The sequence below is a fragment of the Homo sapiens genome, chromosome 1, assembly GCF_000001405.40.
Source record: "Homo sapiens chromosome 1, GRCh38.p14 Primary Assembly".
NCBI lineage: Eukaryota > Metazoa > Chordata > Mammalia > Primates > Hominidae > Homo > Homo sapiens.
Window position 1 is genome coordinate 157781054 of NC_000001.11, and position 11914 is coordinate 157792967.

Sequence of the window (11914 nt, forward strand, 5' to 3'; positions counted from 1 at the left end):
GCCTTGGTGTCTGAGGGGAGGCAGAGAGGCAGAAAGACTTAGGGAGGCTCATAGAAGACATCAGAGCAGCACCTGTGGTGGTGAGCAGTCTTCTCTCCGTGTATGAAAATACTTCCTGGCAAGTTGCCTGGGTTCCATGAGAACAACAGGTGGGGAGGGATGTCTAGAGGTCAAATTCAGTTCAAAGCTTTCTGCTTCCTGTTTTAATTGTATATGTGTGGGTTTTCCAGAAGGTGGATGGGTTATGACTTTTCAGGCCAAGGGGAGCTGTGAACCATGGGTCATCAACTACACCAACCGTTAGTAGAATCACCCACAGCAGCTTTCTGTGGGTGTCTTTCTGGCAGGCTGGTGAGTATCAGTTGTAGTAGAAGAAAAAAGCAAGAACCAAGATCGAGATTACACTGATGGCTTTCTGTCTTGTTTTACCATGCTTTTTTTTTTTTTTTTTTGCTCACTCTTCTAACACACTCTGCTAATAACTTTTTCACAGTTCATAAAGATATGATTCCCAAGCAGAATCATTATTCATTCAGTCATTAATTCATGCATGCATGAAGCCATGCATTCAGTTACTCAGTGGAGTTTTATTCAATGCCCCTGCTTGATGGGCAATACACTTGGCACTAGACATACCCAGATAAAAAGATATGGTCCCTGCCCTGATGGAAATTGCATTCTAGCATCAGAAGACTAATAGAAAAGAGTAAACATACTTGTGTCCCACTGCTGTGGTGGAGCTCTGTACAGCATGTGAATGGACACAGTGGAGATTAAGGAGTAAAGGCTTCCAGAAGAAATGAATATTGAGAGATAGGTAGGTTTCAATCAAGCAAATAAGACTTAGGAAGATGGAGAAGTTCCAGGCCTAGAAAGCATCAGGAGCATGGTAAGAGGTCAGGGACCCATTCGGGCTGCTCAGGTATCCACAGGCACTTTAGAATGGCAGATCCAAAGGTATGAGGAAGAGCATCACAAGAGGTAAGGCCCAAAAGTGGGAAGGTGGGAAAATCTTTATATTTTCATAGGGTGGAGGAGACACCCACTCCATTCCCAGGAAAGAACACCACTAGATAAAACTCTTTTGGTCCTTTTACCATTGTCCTTTTATTCCTACTATTTGTTCCTCTGCATGGGAGAAGAGGCTCATCTGATTGGTGAGTTGGGTTGAAGATGTCAGCTCATGACCTTGTTCTCTCTCTTCACTTGTCCTCAAACAGAAAGTAATCTCTTCCTGCTTATTTTCTTATGTGTAATTATCTCAATGAGTTATCACAGAAGCCAGGGTCCTCTGCTGGCTAAACACAACTCTCCTAACAGTAAGTCCCAAAGCCTATTGATAGAAAAGTAGAGAAAATCTCCATTTGGCTGAAATATAAGTCACATGATCTAGTCTAGTATGGTCATTATTAAAGCTGATATTTTGTCTCCAATCTGACTTTGTCAACTTAGTTCCAAACCTGGAGAAGAGACATAAGGTGAGTAGCACCCATAAACCCTAAATATTTCAAGACTAATGGTGGCATTTCAACCATGATCAGAACATGATCATTTTGAATTTGGACAGCAGGGTGTATGTGGACTAGAAGGAATAAAGCTAGAGATAAATAGAAGAGCTGTATGGCCACTGATACAGTCCAGGATAGAAAAGATGAAGGCTTGAACTAAGGTGGTTCTGATGAAGAGGAGGAGATAAATTTTGCCAGAGTCAAAATCTGCAGAGCTTCATGACTGATTAGGTGTGGGGTGTAAGAGTGGAGCCAGAATCCAGAAAGATACCTAGGTTCCTGGACTTTGTTTTTACTAAGTTACAAATCTGCTTTAATTTTATTTACGGCAGCCTGCTCTGCTTCTCTGGATTGAAGTCTTATTTTTTTCCCTCATAATCCTTTATCCCCAAGATTCTTCTTAGAAGGTATCCCATACTTCCTGTAACCAAGCTCATTGCAATCTCATTATATAAATTTTTCAGGGTTCTCCCAGATGAGCCGCTTCCTCATATTTTGTCTCAGCTTTAGCCTCCTTTCTTCTTTCTTCTCTCTTTAACCATCTCACTCAAATTTAGCATTGTCATTTCCTCAATGCCATAGTGGCAGATTTGTCTGTGTCTTACAGGAAGCTTACATGCCTTGTGACAAGAAACCACCATTATTGACCTGTCCAGGAAAACTAGTCATAAGAAAGTATATGGCAAAGCTATCAATGGCCCACTGGTGAAGGAACCCAGAGCTGAGACAAGGATAAGGCAAAGGGTGGGATCAGTTCTAGAGCTAACTTCTAACAATTTCAGTGTTTGTGCATAACTAAAAATAGAATTTTCTTCCAGTGTTTCTCAATTAATTAAATTTTTCACTTTTATCTGGCATCAGATACATAGGAAACTATAAAGAAAAAAAGTTTAAAGATATAATTGTGGTATTGGTGGACACACTATTGGGAGAATGAAAAAGGTTTTGGTTGCAAGGGAAAGATGATTATAGAATAACAGAACTCCACAAATACAGAGAAAATTAAGGGTCATCAATATTATCAGAAAGCCTGTGACTCCAGCCAATTGGATCAATTACTTATAATGGAAGACATGATCCAAGATAGCAAACTAAGCACTGGTATTTAAATTTTCTTACTTTCAAAATCCCCTTAGATGATGAAAAAATTTAAAAATCAAAATAAAATCCACCACCACTTGGAAAACAAGAAGTGGGGAATACTAGTTCTGGCAGGTTTGGTTAGACTAAAACACCTGAAAATTCTCCCACTTTAAATTCTCCCACTTAAATGCTTATAAGTGATGAATAAATATTACATAATTTTTAAATACATAACTATATATGTAAGAAAGGAGAGAAATCCCCCCATTGTAGATAAATGATGAAGTGAAAGCAGAGTGTTAAACATGTAAATTGGCATTACTGATCCCCTGGGAGGTGTAACGGAGGAAATTAAACAGTAGCTATGTATTTTTTTTTTTTTAGATGGAGGCTTGCTCTGTCCCCCAGGCTGGAGTGCAGTGGGGCGATCTCAGCTCACTGCAACCTCTGCCTCCCAGGTTCAAGATATTCTCTTGCCTCAGCCTCACAAGTAGCTGGGATTACAGGCGCCCGCCTCCACGCCTGGCTAATTTTTGTATTTTAGTACAGACGGGGTTTCATCATGTTGGCCAGGCTTGTCTTGAACCCCTGACCCCAAATGATCCACCAGCCTCGGCCTCCCAAAGTGCTGGGATTACAGGTGTGAATCACCATGCCCGGCCAATACTAGATACTTTTTATGGGCTTAGTGTTTAAAGTCCATGTGGAACTAGGAAACAAAACCTTAAGGCTTCAAAAGGAAGAAACTTGAAACTAAAACACCTGCATACAGTGTAGACCCTCAAAAACTACCTTTTAATAAATGAATGGTGGGTGGGGGAAAAAATCCACCCATTAGCACAGACAGATGATAAGCAAGTTTGTCTTTGTATGAGTTCTGGGAAAAACATAAAATTTCCCCTGAAATAACTAAAGCCCAGGACCATGCCACATTAATGTGTGTGCTCTGGGAAAGCCCAAATAAGGAATTATCATAAAAATTGTTCCTAGGCCAATGAAATTTCCAGGGCTTAGCAGAAACAAATGCAAAATGGATTTTGAAGGATGCAGCAGAAGCCCAGGCCACAGTGACATCAGCAAGATGGCAATCTAAAAGATGTTAGCCTTCATCCTCCCCCTCACACAAAAAAAATAGTTATCTATGAATGATAATAGCCTTAAGAGAGTTCTAGGGTCCATTTAAGAATTTACAGCCACACATTAGATTAAAAAAAAGAAGAAGAAGAAGAACGACTACACAGAAATAATTTCTGGGGAGAATGGCGTACCTAAGACATCTGGAGATGGCTAGAAACAAAGAAGGGCAGGGGCTATTCAGATCAGCCAGGCAGCAGGTGTTATTCACAGTCCCCAGTGGCCTGCTCTGCAGAAAACATGGGCATCTTTCACCACTAAGGCAATCAAGAGCCATCCCTGCTGCAGACTCCCAAGAAGGAGATGCTGCTGCATGCCACCTTGCACACCATTATCAATGCAGCAATGAGGATGCCTGTGCCCTGAGCACACCACGCCAGACTCAAGCCATGGTTCCTCCACATGTGACCATGTTTCAGACCCCAACTCTCTGCCTTTTTTCCATGGACACTATAATCAGACACTGGTGCCACTACCACTGCAAGCATGCCCTCAAGCTGAACCTGGCATAAAAGGAGAGCCTCTTGGCCATGACTTCCCAAGTGGAACAAAAAGAGATTGGAAGGACCACAATAGCCTTCACCACTGAAGATCCTAACAGCTCTCACTATTGCTGAGGACACCCACAGCCTTGGCCACTGAGAACATCTGCAATCTTTGTCAACACCAATCTCAGCTGACAGAGCTGCATGCAGACTAAACTTCTGCATCCTCACTGGAGCTAGAACTTCTGCATTCCTTCACTCTCAGCTGGTACCTTTAGTCCTATCTCAAGGGGACGATTTTTCTCTGCTAAAATCAGTCTATAAAGTCTAGAAGAGATCAATCCATCAATGTGCAGACATCAAAGAAAGGCAGCAAGAAAAAAACAGGGAAACAAAATACCACCAAAAATTGTATGCCTGTAATCCCAGCTACTCAGGAGGCTGAGGCTGGAGAATCACTTGAAACCAGAAGGCAGAGGTTGGAGTGAGCTGAGATTCCACCACTGCACTCCAGCCTGAGCAATTTAATGAGACTCTGTCTCAAACAAAACAAAACAAAAACAAACAAACAAACAAACAAAAAACAATGATTTTCCAGTAACTGACACCAAAGAAATTGAATTCTAAATTTACCTGACAAATAACTCAAAATAATTGTTTGGAGAAGCTCAGTAAACTACAAGAAAGCACCCAAACAATTTAATAAAATTAGGGAAATAATATATGAACAAAATGGAAAATTTAGCAGAGATTAAATCATTTTTTAAAAAGATAAATTCTAAAGCTGAAGAATATGATGATTGAAGTGAAAAAAGGCAATAGAAACATCAGTAGCAGAATTGAGAAGCAGAATTTGTGAATTTAAAGACAGAGTATTTAAAAATATCCAGGCAGAAGATAAGGAAGAATGAAAGAAAATGAGGAAAAATTCCTATGGAATTTATGGAAAAGCATCAAGGGAGCTAACATTTGCATTGTAGGAATTTAATAAAGAGAAGAGACCGAGAAAAGGACCAAAAGTTTATTTGATGAAATAATGTCTGGAAACTTTCCAAATCTAGGAAAAGATATAGACATACAGGTGCAGAAAGCTCAAATATCTCCAATCATATTCAATCCAAAGAAGGCTACACCAAGACATTTTATAATCAAACTGTTAATAGTCAAAGACGAAAAGAATCTTGAAAGCAGTAGGAGAAAAGAAGATCCTATTATAAGGGGATCCCTAAAAGTCTATCAGGGGATTTCTCAGCAGCAATTCTGCAGGCCAGAAAACAATGGGATGATATACTCAAAGTGCTGAAAGAAAGAAAATGTCCAACTGGCTAGGTGCAGTGGCTCATGACTGTAATCCTAGCACTTTGGGAAGCTGAGGCTGGAGGATTGCCTGAGGTCCGGAGTTCAAGACCAGCTTGGCCAACATGGTGAAACCTTGCCTTTATTAAAACACAAAAATTAGTCGAGTGTGGTTGTGGGTGCCTGTAATCACAGCTACTCAGGAGGCTGAGACAGGAGAATCACTTGAACCTGGGAGGTGGAGGTTGCAGTGAGCTAAGATTGTACCATGGCACTTTAGACTGGGCAACAAGAACAAAACTCCAACTCAAAAAAAAAAAAAAAAGAAAAAAGAAAATTTCAACTAAAAATACTTCATAGAGCAAAGCTGTCCATCAGAAATGAAAGAAATACTTTCCCAGATGTGCAAAAGCTGAGAGAGTTTATCATCACTACATCTACCTTATAAAAAATGCTCAGTGGAGTTCTTCAACCTGAAAGAAGGGACACTAACTGATAACATGAAAACATGTAAAGTAGAAATCTCACTGGTAAATATTAGTACATAGTCAATTTCAGAATATTCTAGTACTGTAATTGTGGTGTGTAGTATAAAGGTTAAAATGGAGAAGTATTAAAAATAATTATAGCTACAATAATTTGTTAATAGATACACAATATAAAAGGATGTAAATTGTGACATCAAAAACATAAAATGTTTGGGGAGGTAAAAAGTATAAAGTTTTTGTATGCAATCAAAATAAAGTTATCAGCTTTAATTGCTATAACTACAAGATGTTTTGCATAAGTGCCATGGTAACCACAAATAAAAACCTATAATAGGTGTATGAAAGATAAAGAGAGAAATCAAAGCATACCACTACAGAAAATCATCAGATTACAAGGGAAGACAGCAGGAGAGGAAGAAAAGAACAAAGGATCTATAAAACAATCAGAAAACAATTTAACAAAAGGCAGTAGTAAGTCTTTACCTATCAATAACCTTGAACGTGAATGTATTGAATTCTACAATCAAAAGATATTAAATGGCTGAATAGATTTTTTAAAAGACCAAACTATGTGCTGCCTACAAGAGACTCACTTCACCCTTAAGGGCACACATAGAGAGAAAGTGAAAAGATGAAGAAAGGTAGCCTATGCAAATAGAAACCAAAAGAGAGGAAGAGTAGCTATACTTATATCACACAAAATAGACTTTCATTCAAAAACTATAAAAACAGACAAAGAAGATTATTAATAATAAAAATGGGTCAATTCATCAAAAGAATATAGCAATTATAAATTTATAACCACTCAATATCAGAGCACCTAAATATATAAAGCAAGTTGAATTATATTAAGGGAGAGATCAACTGCAATATAATAATAGTAAAATTATTGAATACTCCACTTTTGACAATGAATAGATTGTCAAAATCAATAAATCCTATAGGCTTTCTTTATTCCTTTTCATTATTTTTTCTCCTCTGACTGGATATTTCAAATAACCTGTCTTTGAATTCACACATTCTTTCTTCAGATTCTCAATTCTACTGTCGACGCCTCTATATGCTTTAGACACAAAATCAGTAGAGAAACATCACACTTGAACTACACTTTAGACCAAATTGACCTAACGAACATCTACAGAACATTCCATTGAACAGTAGCAGAATAGGTGTTCTTCTCATGTACACATGAAACATTCTTCAAGATAGATCATATGTTAGGCTACAAAACAATTGTTAATAAATTTAAGAATATTGAAATCATATCGGTGATTTCAACCACAACATTCCAACCACAACGTTATGAAACTAGAAATCAAGAACAGGAGGAAAATTGGAAAATTTACAAATATATGAAAATTAAACACCACATGAACAATCAATGGTTTGAAGAATAAATCAAATAGAAAATTAACAAAATCTCAAGACAAACAAAAATGAAAATACATTCTAAAACTTATGATATGCAGCAAAAGCAGTTCTACACAGAAAATTTGTAGAAATAAATGCCTACATTAAAAAAATAAGAAATACCTCAAATAAACAACCTAACATGATACCTCAAGAAACTCGACAAAGAAGAACCTATTAAGCCTGAAAACTAGTAGAAGGAGGAAAATAACAAAGATTAGAGTACAAATAAATGAAATAGAGACTAGAAAAAAATAATTGAAAAGATCAATGAAACTAATGGTTGGGTTTTGAAAAGATAAACAAAATTGACAAACTTTTAGCTAGACAAACATAAAAATAGAGAAAACTCAAATAAATAAAAATTATAAATGAAGGAGGAGACATAACTGATATCACAGAAATATAAAAGATTGTAAGAGACTACTATAAAACAATTATATTCCAACAAATTGGATAACCTTAAAGAAAGAGATTAATTCTTGGGAACACACAATCTACTGAGACTGAACATGAAATAATAGCAAACCTGAATGGGCCAAAAATGAGTAAGAAAATTGAATCAGTAATTTAAAGAATCTCCCATCAAAGAAAAGCACAGGACCTGTTACCTTCAGGCCTGAATTCTACCAACAATTTAAGAACTAACACCAATCCTTCTCAAACTATTGCAAAAACTTTGAAGACAGAATACTTCTAAACTCATTTTACAAGGCCAGCATTACTCTAATAACCCAACAAGACAAGGACACTACAAGAAAAGGAAACTACAGGCCAAAATCCCTGATGAACATAGATGCATAAATCCTCAACAAAATTCTAGCAAACCAAATTCAACAGCACATTAAAAGAGTCATTCACCATAATATCAAGTGGGATTTATCCCTGGGATGCAAGGATGATTCAACATAAGCAAATCAATAAATTGATATATCACATTAACAAAATGAAGTACAAAAACTACATAATCATCTCAATAAATGCAAAAAAGCACTTTAAAACATTTAGCATCTTTAGCACCTTTTATAATAAAAACTCTCAACACATTAGGATAGAAGGAATGTACCTCAACGTGATGTAGGCCATATATCACAGCCCACAGCTAACATCATACTCAATGGTGAAAACTTAAAGCTCTTTTTCTAGTACTGGAAGTCCACACCAGAGCAATTAAGCAAGAAAAAGAAGCCAAAGGCATCAAAATGGAAAAGGAAGAAGTACAATTGTCTCTGCTTGCAGATGACATGATCTTACACGTGGAGAACCATAAAGACTCCACCAAAAACTGTTATACAGTAATATACAGGATATAACTTTAACATGCAAAATCAGTAGCATTTCTATACACTAACAACAAACTATCTGAAAAAGAGTTCAAGAAGACAATCCCATACTATAAAAAATAAAATAAAATGGAATAAAATACTTAGGAATAAATTTAACCAGGTAAATGAAAGGTCTCTGTACCAAAAACTATAAAATATTGGTGAAAGACATTGAAGAAGATACAAATAAATGGATTGAAATAATTAGTATTGTTAAAATGTCCATAATACCCAAAGAGATCTACAGATTTAATGTAATCCCTATTAAATTTTGAATAATATTTTTAACAAACATAGAAAAAAATTCTAAAATTTGTGTGGAACCACAAAAGGCCCCAATACAAAAAGCAACTTCGCAAACCAATTCTGCTAAAATTTAATGCCATTTAATTTGGCATAGTGAAATTTGTTCTTGAGAAGAAATAACAAAGCTAGAGGCATCACATTACCTAATTTCAAAATGTACTCAAAGCTTAGTAATCAAATGAGTATGACAATGGCATAAAAACAGAAATATAGACCAATAGAACAGAGTAGAAAGCCCGGAAATAATTTCACAAATTTATGCTCAAGTGATTTTTGACAAAGTACACACAAGAACAGGAACAAGAACACACAATGGGGAAAGGGCAGTCTTTCCAATAAATGGTGTTGGGAAAACTGGATATCTACATGCTGAAGAATAAAATTGGATCCTTATCCTACACCATACACAAAAATCAACTTAAAAACTTAAATGTTAAGACTTGAAACTGTAAAATACTGGAGGAAACATAAGGAAAAACTTCTTGACTTCAATCTTGACAAAGATTTTTTGGATCTGATCCCAAAATTATGGGCAAAGAAAAAAAGACAATATTTGCAAACCATATATCTGACAAGAGTTAGTATGCCAAATATATAAGAACCTCAGGTCAACAACAAGGAAACAAATAATTCAGTTAAAATATAGGCAAAGAACCTGAATAGATATTACTCAAAAGAAGACATACAAATGTCCAGCAGATATATAAAACAGGTATATGTTAAACATTACTAATCATCAGGGAAATGCAAATTAAAACCACAGTGGAATAGCACCTCATACCTGTTAGAATGGCTATTATCAAATAGACAAAAGGTTACAAGTGTTGCCAAGGTTGTAGAGAAAAGGGAACTGTTGGTGGGAGTGTAAATTAAAACATTCATTATAGAAAACAGTATAGCAGTTCCTCAAAATATAATAATAGAGCGACTATATGACCCAGCAATCTCACTACTGGATTTATATCCAAAGGAAATGAAATCAGTGTGTCAAAAAGATATCTGCACTCCCATGTTCACTGCAGCATTACAATAATCGAGATATGGAATCAACCTACATGCCCATCAACAAAATAATGGATTTTAAAAATGTGGTATATATACAAAATGTAATACTATTCAGACTTTAAAAAGAAGGAATTTATGTCATTTGTGACAATGTAGATGAACCTAAAGAGCACTATGTTGAGTGAAGTAAGTCAGCCACAGAAAGACAAATACTGCGTAATCTCACTTACTTGTGGAATCTAAATAACTCCAATTCATAGAAGCAAAGAGTACAATGGTGGTTGTCAGGGATTGAGGGGGAATGGGGAAATATTGAACAAATGATGTAACATTTCAGTTAGAAAGTTTTGGAGATCTATTATACAGCATGGTGTTACAGTTAATAGTAATTTATTCTATATTTGAAGACTGCTAAAAGATTACATTAAAAATGTTCTCACTATAAAAAATGGCAAGTATGCAAGGTGATGTATATGTTCATTAGCCAGATCTAATCATTTCACAATGTATACATATATCAAAACATCACATTATACACCATAAATATATACAATGTTTGTCTGTCAATAATACCTTAATTGCCTTCACTTAAAAAAAAAGAAAAAAAGAGGAACCTAGGCCACATGGAATCCCCACATTGCGCAGGATGCTGCACAATGTAAAATCACAAAATCTATGAAACCACCATAAACAAGATTTAAAATATGTGAGAGGAAGAAAGATCGCTAGAGGCCAGGAGTTCAAGACCAGTCTAGGCAACATAGTGAGAAAGACCAGTCTGGGCAACATAGTGAGACCCCATCTCTAGAAAAAGAAAATTAAAACTTAGCTGGGCATGGTGGTGCACCTCTAGTTCCAGCTACTTGGGGGGTTGAGGTGGGAGGATTGCTTGAGTCCAGGAGTTCGAGGTTGCAGCAAGCTATGATCATGCCACTGCACTACAGCCTGGGTGATAGAGTGAGATTCTGTCTCTAAAAATATTTAATAAACATAAATAAAATATGTGATAAACTGAGGATTAAATGCCTAAAACTTCAATTGGTAGATTTATCTGGGAATTACAGTTTATTTAAACTATTTTAAGCTTGTTAAAAATCATAAAATCAAGTGTTAAACCAATAACAGCAAAACACAACAAATAATAAAAACACTCTGTGAAGGAATGATAATAATAATTTATTTTTTGAGGACTCAATGTCATTTCAGGCCCTGTCTTAAGCATTTTATGCAAATAATTTTAATTAATTACCAAAAAACACTATATTTATATACAATTGTTACTTCAATTTTACACACCAAGAAGCACAAAAGGTTAATTAATTTAACCAAAACTGGAGAGCTAGTAAATAATGGAGGCAAAATGTAAATCCAGACAATCCTCTGAAACCATGCTTTTAACCATTTTGCTAATAAAATCTCAAAAAATGTAATCATTGAAATAGAAAATAAATAGGTTAAACAATAAAATAGATACAGCTGAAGAAAGAACCAGTAAACTGGAAGACAGAGATTAAGAAATTACCTAAAATGCAATAAGTGATAATGAAATGAAAATTTTGCAAGACTAATTAAGAGTCATGAGACTAGAATGAAGTCTAGCAAACTTCTAATATAAATTTCTGAGGGAAAGAATTCAAATAATGCTGTAGCAGCATGATAATAAAGAGATAATAGCCAAATATTTTCTAAACTTGAAAAAAGACATGATACCTTAGACTTGAGTTATTAATCTCTAGCAAAATAAATGCACATTTAGACAAATCATAGTGAAATTGCATAATATCAAATATAAAAAGTCTTAAAGGCAACTGGAGAGAAAAGATAGATTAATTATAAAGAAACAACAATTACATAGATTTCTCAAAGAAAACAGA

At 35.7% G+C, this 11914-nt stretch overlaps 1 annotated feature.

The window, feature by feature from the left end:
* Window positions 1-60: an enhancer, noted in NCBI's record as "active region_1893". NCBI's record gives its function as "activates an Ori minimal core promoter by ATAC-STARR-seq in GM12878 lymphoblastoid cells {active_cell/tissue: GM12878}" and the evidence as "EXISTENCE:reporter gene assay evidence [ECO:0000049][PMID:35858748]".